This window comes from Homo sapiens, chromosome 7 (assembly GCF_000001405.40).
Source record: "Homo sapiens chromosome 7, GRCh38.p14 Primary Assembly".
Classification (NCBI taxonomy): Eukaryota; Metazoa; Chordata; class Mammalia; order Primates; family Hominidae; genus Homo; species Homo sapiens.
The window spans coordinates 74,756,582-74,770,153 of NC_000007.14; the positions used below are offsets into that span (position 1 = coordinate 74,756,582).

At 50.1% G+C, this 13,572-nt stretch overlaps 1 protein-coding gene across 5 annotated transcripts in view, besides 4 other annotated features; it reads left to right on the forward strand.

The window, feature by feature from the left end:
* GTF2I (general transcription factor IIi) overlaps nucleotides 1-4,111 on the forward strand; it is a 102,975-nt gene extending 98,864 nt beyond the window's left edge. For all 5 annotated transcript variants that reach the window (NM_032999.4, NM_033001.4, NM_001163636.3 and 2 more), the window contains 4 exons: nucleotides 239-280; nucleotides 1,378-1,419; nucleotides 2,199-2,274; nucleotides 2,967-4,111. In NM_032999.4, the coding sequence (NP_127492.1) occupies nucleotides 239-280; nucleotides 1,378-1,419; nucleotides 2,199-2,257 (143 nt within the window). In that variant the 3' untranslated portion in view covers nucleotides 2,258-2,274; nucleotides 2,967-4,111. The remainder of the gene's footprint in view (nucleotides 1-238; nucleotides 281-1,377; nucleotides 1,420-2,198; nucleotides 2,275-2,966) is intronic.
* Nucleotides 1-13,572: part of a biological region, named in NCBI's record as "Williams-Beuren syndrome medial block B recombination region", that runs on past both edges of the window. NCBI's record gives its function as "recombination_partner: LOC106029311 | LOC106029313".
* Nucleotides 1-13,572: part of a non allelic homologous recombination region, noted in NCBI's record as "sub-region SSN3'-SSN6', recombines with sub-region SSN3-SSN6 within the WBS centromeric block B recombination region", that runs on past both edges of the window. NCBI's record gives the evidence for it as "EXISTENCE:restriction fragment detection evidence [ECO:0001124][PMID:12796854]".
* Nucleotides 6,478-7,745: a meiotic recombination region, noted in NCBI's record as "meiotic double-strand break mapped by DNA meiotic recombinase 1 chromatin immunoprecipitation followed by single-stranded DNA enrichment and sequencing in the germ cells of some male individuals with the PRDM9 A/C genotype". NCBI's record gives the evidence for it as "EXISTENCE:chromatin immunoprecipitation-seq evidence [ECO:0000229][PMID:25395542]".
* Nucleotides 10,859-11,360: an enhancer, noted in NCBI's record as "H3K4me1 hESC enhancer chr7:74181785-74182286 (GRCh37/hg19 assembly coordinates)". NCBI's record gives its function as "activates a minimal SCP1, AML or CMV promoter by ChIP-STARR-seq in naive H9 embryonic stem cells {active_cell/tissue: H9 hESC(naive)}" and the evidence as "EXISTENCE:reporter gene assay evidence [ECO:0000049][PMID:30033119]".

Consider the following 13,572-nt stretch of genomic DNA (forward strand, 5'->3'; position numbering starts at 1 on the left):
AAAACTCTGTCCCAATAAATAAATAAATAAAATGTTCTCTTTTGTTCCTGTTCTTGTGCGGTAGTGTGGTATAGAGTTTTATGGTAATTACTGTGAATTAGTGATTCTGAGGGACATATCAGAACTCTGAGGTTTGTTTCCTTCTCATCTTGAGGGAAACAGCAAATGTATGTTAAAATGCTTTTCCAAGGGAACAACACATCCTTACATTATTTAAACCAATCTGCTTCATTTTCAGAGCTGGTTGATCAGAGTGAGTCAGAAGGCCCCGTGATACAAGGTGAGCGAGGCAGGGGAGGGCCCGGAGCTACTCCTGCCTGCACAGTGGCACAATGGCGTGCCTGCGTGTGGCTTTGGCTCTCAGTCACCTGCCCTGAGGGGACTCAGTTACACAGCACACACATGCTTCTCTGTGGTTTTCACTCCTGGGTTTGACAGCTGATCAAAACATAAATTCAAGCTGTGGGTCCTGATTGAGAACTGGGGGCTGCAGACCATTTGCACCCCCTATCCCAGCTCAGGCCTAACATCAGGAACCCCAGGATTAATGGGTAGGATGAAATGGCAGAGCAAGAGGGCCGTCACTTTAACCTGACTCTGCCATCCATTTCTAATGTCTGCCATAAGTCAGTGAGCAAAATGTTCTTCAGTAGAAATGTACACATTGTGCTCTTAAAAAATTCCTTAAAAAACAAGTGGAATGGCCTGGTGCTGTGTGAGTCATTGAAAGTAATGAGACTGGGCGCGGTGGCTCACGCCTGTTATCCCAGCACTTTGGAAGGCTGAGAAGGGTAGATCACTTGAGATCAGGAGTTCGAGACCAGCCTGGCCAACATGGTGCAACCCCGTCTCTACTAAGAATACAAAAACTAGCCAGACGTGGTGGCGTGTGCCGGCTACTCAGGAGGCTGAGGCAGGAGAACCGCTTGAGCCTGGGAGGCGGAGGTCGCAGTGAGCCAAGATCGTGCCACTGCACTCCAGCCTGGGCAACAGAAAGGAGATTCTGTCTCAAAAAAACAAACATACGAAGAAAAACAAAAAAAGTAATGAAAAGCTTTTATTAAAGGGAGTAAACAGAAGGATAAGGGAGAAAGCATAACTAAGGAGCTTGTTTTCATGGTAGAGCTATGTTAAGACTCTGCTCTTTCAAACTTCAGTTGCATATGTGAACTTAGGACCACATTTGAAAAACAGAAATTTGAAAGTACACTTGGATAATCGTGTGCTCCATCTCAAGACCGTGAGCATTGTTTCATCATGCACCTGTGTTTGTACAGAGTCTAGAGGGCTTTTCTCCTCTTCCTCCTCCTGGGTTCTTTACATAGTATAAAGCAGCTGTTGAACAATGTGGAAATCAGTCTCTGTGTTTCTCTTTAGAATCAGCTGAACCAAGCCAGTTGGAAGTTCCAGCCACAGAAGGTAAAAGGGTGGGGTGGTCCTGCAAGTCCTTAAGACTTCTTCTTTCTTCTTCTTCTTTTTTTTTTTTTTAAAGACAGAGACTTGCTCTGTCACCCAGGGTGGAGTGAGGTTGCGCGATCTCTGCAACCTCCGCCTCCCGGGCTCAAGCAGTTCTCCTGCCTCAGCCTCCCGAGTAGCTGGGATTACAGGCCTGCACCACCATGCTTGGCTAATTTTTGTATTTTTAGTAGAAACGGGGTTTCACCATGTTGGCCAGGCTAGTCTCAGACTTCTGACCTCAAGTGATCCGCCAGCCTTGGCCTCCAAAGTGCTCGGATTACAGGCGCGAGCCACCTTGCCCAGCCAAGACTTTTTTATCAGGACAAAGGATTGTGCATTTAAACTATTTCACTAGAACTGGGTGGTGGTTTTGCTCTCTTTCTTCTGGGTGAATTGGATTTGCAGGTTATGCTGTTGAGTGATGACGCATAGCTGCTTTTGCTCCATTTCCCCCAGATGACTTGGTAAATTCTCCGTGAATGACTCTGCTACATAACCTAGATAACCTAACGTGTGTCCTTTAAATGCATGTAAGCCAGAAGATGTATGTTACTTTGAAAACATAAGTAACAAAATTTTGAATGTATTGCTAAAGAGATGTCTCTCTGAAGCTCTTTTGATGTTTGGTGTCTTGTCCTTCTTATTAAACCATATCTTAGTAAATAGTTTGGTACGAATGGATTTATCACTGAGCAGGTCTGCAAAATAATTAATCGGTACCGTTTTGTTTCTGTTGATAGAAATAAAAGAGACTGATGGAAGCTCTCAGATCAAGCAAGAACCAGACCCCACGTGGTAGACCTCTTCCCTCCTAGGGTAAATCAGCTTCTGTGTCAGGGATGCTGTGTGGTGTCCATCTGAACCCCCTGCATACGCGTAGCTAATGTGATCTCCCCACTTTCACATAAGATGGTGGCCCTGCCTTCAGGGAATGTGGGAGCCAGGTGGGAGCCTTCCCGGATATTTAAGCTAGAAGATTCTACAGGGAGATTCTCCTTGGATCAATATATGTCTCTCAGTCAAAGATGTAAAAGCACTTTTGCCTTAAAAAGAATGTTCTGTTTCTAAATAGAGTCAACGTTGTCCTCCTCATTGGAATTCACTATGAGTCAGAATCATTAGACTGACTTTTTTTTTTCCATAGTAATAGTATTTTGCAGAGTCTCACAGAGCTGCAGATCTTTTGTTCATCTTGCAGAGTTAACAAGTCTGATCCTGTTAGTCCAGATTTCTTAAATTTGGCCAAGTTATAATAGGAGCAGTAGCTTGAGACCCGAAGTCAGGAAACTTTGACAATGGATTTTTTTTTTTAATCCAGAGACTTGTACTGGAATTTGCCTTACCCTGTCAGCTCATGGACTTAAGGTTTCATCCCGCTTTATGAGTGCTTCTGAATCCAAGTCATTGTTACCTGAATTTGCAAATTAAGTTGTGATATTCGTGACTGTTAAATTCCTGTAATTAGATTAACCTCTTTGCTTGCTTGTTTGTTTTCTCTCCTATTTTAGCTTAAAGTATCAGTGGTTGAGAAGAGCTTTTCGGACCTGTTACTACCCCAAGCTGTGTAATATACTTGTATAACAGAAATACCTTCTATACAAACCTTTTTTTCTACTTTTAGATAGAAATGTCTACTTTTTCAGCAGTTCTGTGAATTAAAGAGCAGAGTGACTGTGGGTCTGGAATGGCTGGTGTACTTGGGAATGTACTATCAGGATTTTACAGCAATGCTGGGAAATGACAGGGAAAATGACAGGAATGAATCTCACCAGATTTTTTATGTACTCAGCAGAGCCTTGAGTTACGGTGTTTATTTTCCAATCAAGTGAAGATATCTCCTACTTCTCCTACTGGAACATCTCAGCTTCTGCAGTGAAGAAAAATTCCTGTGATAGTTCAGTTCTTTAGTTTTTCTATTTGAAAAAAAAAAATCATTTAAATGATCCTTTGTTCACGGCTCTCCTTAATGACTGAGTGAACAGTTCCTATCTGTATATTTGACTAAACCTTTTCCTAAGCTATCTCTCATGGTTCCTATGTTTTTTTATCATAATTAAAAGCAAAACCATCTGGATCACCTAACAGTCAGAGGTCAGTATCTCAGCGTGTGAATTATAGAGGAAATACAGAGAGAACCTCTTCCACTTTTACTTTTCGTCCAAATAAAATGCATGGTGTACCAGAAGTTGAAGATCGGGTTGAGGATTGGGGCTAGCTCGATGACACTAAGGCCCCAACATCGCGGGACCTGCTGTGGCGCGGATTCTTAGGAACGCTGTTCTAGCCGGCCCCCTCTCCAGGGGTCGCCGTGGCCGGCATTATTTCCTAGTTCTTCTTGTAACCCTGAGGTGCCAGCGCGGGGAGTGAGGAGGGGTCAGGGGGCTAAGGATGCAACCTCTGACGTTCTGCGCCTTCCTAGGAGAGTCTTACATGTGTTGAGATTTCACAAGCAATGCGAGTTGTAAAATACCAGCTCTACAAGAAGCTAGGCTCTGTGACGGCATAGTTTTCAGTAGCTTTATCACAATATTCACAATGGAGAATTATATGACATGGTAGCAGAAATAGGCCCTTTTATGTGTTGCTTCTATTTTACCTCAAATTGTAGATATAGGGTAATCAATAAAATCCATCCATGCCTTTCACACACTAAGTCATTGCTCTCTCGGCTGTTTTCATGGTCCTGTCTGGGGAAGCTTGGGGGTGGCTCGGCGTAGGTGGGACGCAGACCAAGGCCGAGGCTGGCGCTGGGCAGAGCCCGCCGGGCCTCCCGGGGACAGCGCCACTTGCGGTGTTTCTCAGACCGCTGCTGCCCATCTCCTCTGAGCGGGCCAGGGCCCCCACCCTTCCATCTGGGCCATGCCAGCTGTGTATGGAGAGCCGCTCACATACGACATTGGGTGCCAAAAGCCCCTGCCATCGAGAGCTCATGCAGCAGTCCCTCCTGCCTGAGCCCACACACTGACTCTGAGGCTCTTCTGTTCTCAGCGTGGTCCCTGCCTCTGCCGTGCCCTATCCGCGTGTGCCAGAAAGGGAAACTGATCTCATGATTCACCTGCCTGCTAACCTGGGAGGAGACTGCTTCTCTGATAGCATCTCACAGTTCTTTTAACATGTTCTTAAAATGTGTCCTGCCGCACCACCCTCAGCCACACCTCCCAGCACCCATCCTGGAGAATCAGGGCCATGGCAAGGCTGCCGTTGGCAAAAGCCCAGCTCTGCCATGAATCTCCGTTCAGTTACTGGTTTCACACTCATTTGTGAGGTCACAGACTTGCCAAGGATATTCATGATTCAATCCATTACAACAATTCTGTGTGTACATAACACATTTTTTCCTTTCTTTTTTTTTTTTCCTGAGACAGTCTTGCTCTGTTGCCCAGGCTAGAGCACAGTGGTGCAGTCTCAGCTCACTGCATCCTCCACCTCACAGGTTCAGGCAATTCTCCTGCCTCAGCCTCCCGAGTAGCTGGGATTGCAGGCACCCACCAACACACCTGACTAATTTTTGTATTTTTAGTAGAGACGGGGTTTCAGCATGTTGGCCAGGCTGGTCTCAAAATCCTGGCCTCAGGTATATACACATATTTTTACACACACACACACACACACACACACACACACACACACATAAAGGATTTAAGCCAGGTGCTGTGGTGTACAACTGTAGTCCCAGCTACTAGGGAGGCTGAGGTGGGAGGATCACTTGAGCCACTGCAGTGATTACACCACTGCACTCCAGACTGGGTGACAGTGAGACCCTGTCTCTTAAAAGAAAAAAGAAGAGGCCTTAGCTGCCTGCATTAATTAATGAACAGGCAGTGTATTTCTGTTCTTTTTTTTTTGAAGACGGAGTCTCACTCTGTTGCCCAGGCTGGAGTGCAGTGGCGCAATCTTGGCTCACTGTAACCTCCGCCTCCTGAGTTCGAGATTCTCCTGTCTCAGCCACCCCAGTAACTGTGATTATGGCCACCTGCCACCACGCCCGGCTAATTTTTGTATTTTTAGTAGAGACGGGGTTTCCCCATGTCGGCCAAGCTGGTCTCGAACTCCCAACCTCAAGTGATCCACCTGCCTCGGCCTCCCAAAGTGCTGGGATGACAGGTGTGAGCCACCAAACCCAGCCTCAGGCAGTGCATTTCTAAAAGGCAGATAGTGTGATTGTTCAGAGGGTGAAGGGGAAGTTAAACTTGTCCAGTAAAATCTTCGTTAGCCCGGTATTCTGGATTGAAAAAGCAAAATATAGTTCAAGTAGGTCTCTTCAGTGTATCTAATAAGCTCTTGTTTCTGAAACAACTGATTCCTTGGCCGGGCGTGGTGGCTCACGCCTGTAATTCCAGCACTTTGGGAGGCCAAGGAGGGCAGATCACTTGAGGTCGGGAGCTCAAGACCAGCCTGGTCAACATGGTGAAACCTCGTCTCTAGTGAAAATACAAAAATTAGCCGACTGTGGTAGTGCACACCTGTAATCCCAGCTACTCGGGAGGCTGAGGTAGGAGAGAATTGCTTGAACCTGGGAGGCGGAGGCTGCAGTGAGCCAAGATCACACCACTGCACTACAGCCTGCGTGACAGAGTGAAACTCTGTCTCAAAAAAACAAAAACCTCCTGATTTTTTTTTTTTTTTTTTTTTTTTTTGAGATGGAGTCTGGCTCTGTCGCCCAGGCTGGAGCGCAATGGTGCGATCTCGGCTCACTGCAACCTCTGCCTTCTGGATTCAAACGATTCTCCTGCCTCAGCCTCCAGAGTATCTGGAACTACAGGCGCCTGCCACCACGCCCAGCTAATTTTTTGTATTTTTAGTAGAGATGGGGTTTCACCATGTTAGCCTGGATGGTCTCGATCTCCTGACCTCGTGATTTGCCCACCTCGGCCTCCGAAAGTGTTGGGATTACAGGCATGAGCCGCCACACCCGGCCGCCTCCTGATTTCATAATAATTCAAGGGACAAACATAATTACTTCCCAGGTAAGGCAGTAGAGTGACTAAGAACAAATCCACTTCTGGACAGCCATTATATAGGGGACATTTTTATCAGAAAAACAGTAAAAGCAAGGAAATGTCTCCCTCCCAGGACTGTATGAATTAAACCCTGCCTGCTGATTGCCAAGTGACAACTCCCATTCCAAGCCCCTGGTCCTCAGTGGGGAGGAAACCAAAGCTTTGTCCCTGGAGGGAGGTCCTGCGGGAATGGCCAGGGACGCATCCGCTCTCAAATGCTAGAGCTGGCAGTTGTCATCTGCTCGTGAGAAGGTTTCGCCTTTGCCTGTCCCCACCCCCGTCCCTCCCAGGCCATCAGCGCACATCAGAGTTAGCACATTACATGATGCCTTAATCTTCTAATTGGTTTAAGTCAGCTGACATGTAAAGTGAGGTCTGGGAGACTGTTCTGGAACTGTATAGATGAGGACGTTGTTGCCCCAGTCTTATTCAGAAGCTTGAGGATGCAACTTGGACCTGGGTCTGTGGTCCCCTAGGACCTGAAACTCATATAGAGCCAGCTGCCAGTTCCATTTTGAAGTAGGTTGGTCTCTCTCTCTCTTTTTATTTTTTGAGACAGAGTTTCGCTCTTGTTGCCCAGGCTGGAGTGCAATGGCACGATCTCAGCTCACCGCAACCTCCACCTCCCAGTTCAAGCGATTCTCCTGCTTCAGCCTCCCGAGTAGCTGGGATTACAGGCATGTGCCACCACACCTGGCTAGTTTTGTATTTTTAGTAGAGATGGGGTTTCTCCATGTTGGTCAGGCTGGTCTGGAACTCCTGACCTCAAGCAATCCGCCCGCCCCAGCCTCCCAAAGTGCTGGGATAACAGGCATGAGCCCCTGTGCCTGGCTGTAGTTTGGTTTTTCTGAGCCTCCTCCTGGTTCCCATTTCTGTTTTTTTGTTTTTGTTTTTGTTTTTTCTCCAAAGACCAAAAGTTCCACCAGAGAGGAAGATCGAGGGACCAGGCCTTTCTAGTTTCCACATTACACTCTAAGTGCTGGTCTTAGTAAATTCAAGGCACCTGGTGGGCTTGACCATTCGGGGGCAGATAATTGTTACACACCAAAGGGGCATCTTTTGGAAAGTCACTGCCCAGTAACCACTTCCATCTTCTGGAAGGTCGCTGCTCATCTTCCTAAATGGAAGCCCCAGTTTCTGGACTTGGATGTGTTTTGAGGATCTGATGTTCTCCCAAAGTGCCTCAGTTTCCCTATGATGGGGAAAGAGGAAGGGGACGGATTTTAGGAATGGAGGTGACCTGGAGGCCGCTGTCCCTGTCCTTAGACCTGCGAGTCCAGGGGGATGACCGCAAACAGGGCTGTGGGGCCTTTCTTTACTCTCAAAAGCATCACTTCCCCTGCCTGGAGTTCAGATCCTGCCTGGATCCACGGTGGGAAGGGAGCTCTGGCTCTCTGTACTTCACCCACGGCTGCCCACTCACCTGGCTCACAGGGCAGACTGGATGCAGCTTTCAGCCAGTTGTAGAAATCACAGGTCCCTGGCTGGGAACAGTGACTCAGGCCTGTAATCCCAGCACTTTGGGAGGCCGAGGCGGGCGGATCATGAGGTCAGGAGATCGAGACCATCCTGGCTAGCACGGTGAAACCCCGTCTCTACTAAAAATACAAAAAATTAGCCGGGCATGGTGCTGGGCGCCTATAGTCCCAGCTACTCGGGAGGCTGAGGCAGAATGGCGTGAACCTGGGAGGCCAAGCTGGCAGTGAGCCGAGATCGCACCACTGCACTCTAGCCTGGGTGACAGAGCGAGACTCCGTCTCAAAAAAAAGAAATCACAGGTCCCTAGGGGCCTAGTGGCCCATCGGTGACAAAGGGCAGGTGGACCTGGTGTGGCTGCACCAGAGGGGCCTTCTCATCCTGGGAACTGGGCTAAAAACCAAGCCCAGACTGAGGCCCATGCTTTTGTCCCCCCAGCCGCCTCGAGGTCCCTCCTTACCTGCCCCCTGCACCCCTACCCCATCTTAACTCTTTTTTTTTTTTTCCAAGATGGAGTCTCGCTCTGTGGCCCAGGCTGGAGTGCAGTGGTGCAATCTCTGTCCCCTGCAACCTCTGCCTACCAGGTTCAAGCTATTCTCCTGCCTCAGCCTCCCGAGTAGCTGGGATTACAGGTGTCCACCACCACACCCAGCTAATTTTTGTATTTTTAGTAGAGACGGGTTTCCCCATGTTGGCCAGGTTGGTCTCGAACTCCTGACCTCAAGTGATCCGCCTGCCTTGGCCTCCCAGAGTTCTGGGATTACAGGCGTGCGTGAGCCACTGCGCCTGGCACCGCACCTTAATTTTGAGGAAGTGTTGGGAAAGCTGGCTCTGACATCTCTTGTGAGGCAAGCCCAGCTGGGGAAGGTGTTTCCTGCCTGACTTCCTCCCCAGAAGCAATAGCAGGGCTTGCTGTGGCATCCGCTTCCTGCGGGGGCTCAAGGTTGCTCGTTCCTCAGGCTACATAAAGCAGTAAGGACCCACCCAGGAGGACCCCTCCAGAGGTGTGAGGGCGATTTGGTGGACACAGGTAGGGCCAGCGACAGAGCAGAGGGCACACCTCCCAGAGCCCCAAATGCCACAGGCTGAGAAGGTCTAGCTCTAGCTGCATCCAAAGGACCTGTTGAACTCCTGTCCCGATTGACACTAAAACTGTCCCCTCCTGTATGGTGCCCACACCCTTCAGGGGAAACCCCTGGATAAACAGCAGTCACTGCAGGTCTCCAAAAAGACAAGGCCGGAACAGGGAACCTGGGGTGCATGTTCAGGAAGCTGTGGCAAGTGTTGACACCACAGCCCCAAGTTTCTTTTTCTGGCCCGCGGAAGATGAGCTTCAGTCCCATGGAGGTGACAAGGTTGTCCTCCTGCATGATGGGGCTCTGCGGTGCCTCTGCGCCTGGGTAACCCCTCACCGAGAAAGCCACGTCTACAGGTCCCACCTGTCTGCAGGTGTGCCGCCCCCAACTCCAGGCCTGTGTGACTTAGCGACTGTCCCAGATCTCTCCTGGGAAGTGGCGCAGGGGCCTGGCCCTCAGTGAGTCCCAGAGGGACCGCACCACCACTGACTTCACTGTGCTGCTTGGAGCTGGGGAGATGTGGAAACGGCCACTCCAGACCCAGTGACTGGCTGGTGCTTAGGATGTGATTTCCTCATTACTGAAATTTGTTTCAAGTGTACAGAAATCACCATCGGCCACGTGCAGTGGCTCACGCCTATAATCCCAGCACTTTGGGAGGCCGAGGCGGGCGGATCACCTGAGGTCAGGAGTTCGAGACCAGCCTGGCCAATATGGAGAAATCCTGTCTGTACTAAAAATACAAAAATTAGCCGGGTGTGGTAGCGGAAACCTGTAATCCCAGCTACTCAGGAGGCTGAGGCAGGAGAATTGCTTGAACCCAGGAGGTTGGAGGTTGCAGTGAGCCGAGACTGCGCCATTGCACTGCAGCCTGGGCAACGGAGTGAGACTTTGCCTCAAAAAAAAAAAAAAAAATTTCACCAAAGCCCCTGGGGGTGGTGGTGCACTGCGGAGTTTATAGCCTTCCTGGGTGGCAGAGGGCAACTGGGCCCCTGAGCACAGAAGTGGGGCTCCCGCGGGGGTGGGGCTGGCTTGGAAGGTCCCCATTCCTGTGGTGCATATTTGATGAGGGCCCATGTCGTGCCTGGAGCTGGGCCAGAAGCCACAGTGCAGTGCAGTGGGGACAGACCCAGCCTGTCCATGGGCTTGGTTACTGTCAGCCTGGCCGTGTCAGGGAAGGCTTCCAGGCCACCCACACAGCTGCACCACACCCAGACAAGCTCTCCAAGGGACATCATGAGACTGCTCCACTGTCAGAGCCCCGGGCCGGTGGTCCCAGCAACTTGGGGTGCCTGCTGTCCTTCATGTGACATTTTCTTCATTCAAAGCTCAATTTAAACAGCAAGAAGCCTCCCTGCCTCCTACCTGGCAATTTCCCTGCCCCGCACCTTGGAGGCAGCCCCTGCGCAGTTTGCATCTGGTGATGGCCAACGTTTGCCACCCTAGTACTTGACCCTATTTAATCCTCACGGCAGCCCATGAAGTAGGTACAGTGGTCAGTGCCATTTCACAGATGAAAAGACAGAGGCTCAGGGAGCTTCAGCCACGTGCACAGCTCAGCCGTCAGCCTGCACGTCTCCCCACGGGGCCTGGGTCTCCGTCTGACTCCCCTAAGTCGAATGCCTGGGGCCTGGAGCCCATTCTCTTGTGTCCCTAGGCCAAGGGCTGGAGATCAGGTCTAGGGGAGAAGGGAATTCCCAGGGGTGTGGTTCAGGTGTGTCCTGGGACAGTCTCCCAAGGGCAGGTCCCTGATTCCCCTCTGCCGAGGCCTCAGGGTCCACCCCTGCCAAGCAGAGCCCAGCGCAGGTGATTTGGCTGATAAAGGAAGATGGGTCTCTGGGGAGGCAGCAAGTGGCCCACTTTCTTCTTTGCTTTTTTTTTTTGAGATGGAGTCTCACTCACTCTGTCTCCCAGGCTGGAATGCAGTGGCACGATCTCGGGTCACTGCAACCTCCGCCTCCCGGGTTCAAGAGAGTCTCCTGCCTCGGCCTCCTGAGTAGCTGGGATTACAAGCACCTGCCACCATGCCCAGCTAATTTTTGTATTTTTTGTAGAGATGGGGTTCACCATGTTGGCCAAGGCTGGAGTGGCCAGCGTTTCTGCCTATTGACACCTGCCTGCCAATACAGGGTCGGTCACACAGAGCCAGCGTCATAGGTACCTTGGGGCCCATCCTGCTGCCCTAGGCAGGAGGGAGAGCTGGTCCTGTGGGCTGGCCCAGGAGACGGTCACCCAGGGCTGTCCAAGGGGATGGATCCTGGCTGTCACTCGCTCAAGAAGAGGCAGCAGGAGAGGCTTAGGTTAGATCTGGGAAAGAACTGTCCCACCCAAAGGCTGATTTGCTCCAGTCCTGGGAACTGCTAGATTCCCTCTCCTGATAAAATGTCCCAGAGGGCACTGCGTGGGTCCCATGCCCTGACGCCAAGTCGCCTTTCTCCTGATATGGTACCCACTGGCCTGGCCTTGGGGATTTCCTGGTTAAAGAAATAGCGAGCTCAGCCCATCTGGGGAAAGCCAAGTGGCCTGAGGGCGGAGACGGTGACATTTGGAAAAAGGCCAGGACTGGCAGCTCAGACCTGGAAGCCCCCACTCCCTGCCAGCCTGGCTTGAGGTGAGAGCCTTCCTCATGAGCCCCCTACCCCCACTCATTCATTCATTCATTCATTCACATTGTTCAAGGGCAAGGCATGAGAGTACAACAGTTAAATCATGGGCCTGGGTCCAGACTGCCCAAGTTCAATCGCGGTTCTAGCCTGGCGCGATGGCTCATGCCTGTAATCCCAGCACTTTGGGAGGCTGAGGCAGGCAGATCACTTGAGGTCAGGAGTTCGAGACCAGCCTGGGCAACATGGTGAAACCCCATCTCTACAAAAAATACAAAAATTAGCCGGGCGTGGTGGCACGAGCCTGTAATCCCAGCTACTCGGGAGGCTGGCACAGAATTTCTTGAACCAGGGAGGCGGAGGTTACAGTGAGGCAGGATTGCGCCACTGCACTCCAGCCTGAGTGACACAGCAAGACTCTGTCTCAAAACAAAAACAAAACAAATCCCAGTTCTGCATATACCAGCTGTGGCAATCTGTTTTCCTCTCTGTTTTCCCATCTGTGAAGTGGGGAAAATTGTACCCACTCCCTGACAGCCTCCTTGTGAGGAGAAGATACGGTCATAAATAGAAAGCACCTAGAATAGTGCCTGACGTAGGGCAGGGCGGCGGGGTGCAGGGGGCCCTTCCTATTAGCACTCGGGACGTGGGGGAATTCTTGGGGCCCTGGTATTGTTCTAACACCCAGTGATGGTTCACCAGCTGTCTCCTTTATAATAATTAGGTAAGAGATGTGGTTTTCTACATATTTCACAATACAAACATTTTTAGAAATTCTATTTCCTTCCCCTGAAAAAACTCTCTTATCTCTTTATTACTTCCTTCCTTAACTTTATTTTATTTTATTTTATTTATTTATTTTTTGAAACCAAGTCTACTCTGTTACCCAGCCTGGAGTGCAGTGGTGTGATCTCGGCTCACTGCAACCTCTGCCTCCCAGGTTCAAGCGATTCTTCTGCCTCAGCCTCCCAAGTAGCTGGGATTATAGGCTTGCAATGCCATGCCTGGCTAATTTTTTTATTTTTAGTAGAGACCCGGTTTCACCGTGTTGGCCAAGCTGGTCCCGAACTCCTGACCTCAGATGACCCACCCACCTTGGCCTCCCAAAGTGCTGGAATTACAGGCATGAGCCACTGCACCTATCTTTTTTTTTTTAATTAAAAAAATTATTTGGTACCTTGTTTCATCCATGCATTAAATTAAATCCTGGCCAGACACAGTGGCTTATGCCTGTAATCCCAGCATTTTGGGAGGCTGAGGTGGGAGGACCACTTGATACTGGAGCTTGAGACCAGGCCGAGCAGCATCTCGAGACCCCGTCTCTACAAAAAAAAAATAATAATAATAATAATAATAAATAAAAAGTGGAAAAAATCCTATGTCATCCTGAAAAAAGGCTGTAAGCCTGCTTACAGAGGTCATTACAAGGTCAAACTCAAGTTCGGAGCGCTTCCTGCCTCTGCTCATCCAACAAACTTGCTGGATACCTCCTGTCTGCAGAGCACTTTGAGGGAACATAACAGGGTCTTGGGAGGCCACAGGAGGAGAGTTGAAAGATCACAGCCAGGGGCTCAGGGTGTCCACAGGACAAGTACCCTTGGCCAGGCAGTTACGCAAGTGTGGAAAGACTGCTAGAGGAAGGGAAGGAAGTGCCGAGAGCCCACAAAATTCTCTGCTTACAACCAGCCCCACTAGAACCTTCCTCTGCCCTGCCTCGACATGCCCAGGAGAGCACCGCTGCAGGTCTGGCCTCTGTGCTGAGCCTTTTTTTTTTTTTTTTCCTGAGACAGAATCTCACTCTGCTTCCCAGGCTGGAGTGCAGTGGCAGGATCTCGGCTCACTGCAACCTCCACCTCCCTGGTTCAAGTGATTCTCCTGTCTTACCCTCCGGAGTAGCTGGGATTACAGGTGTGTGCCACCATGCCCAGCTAATTTTTGTATTTTTAGTGGAGACTGGGT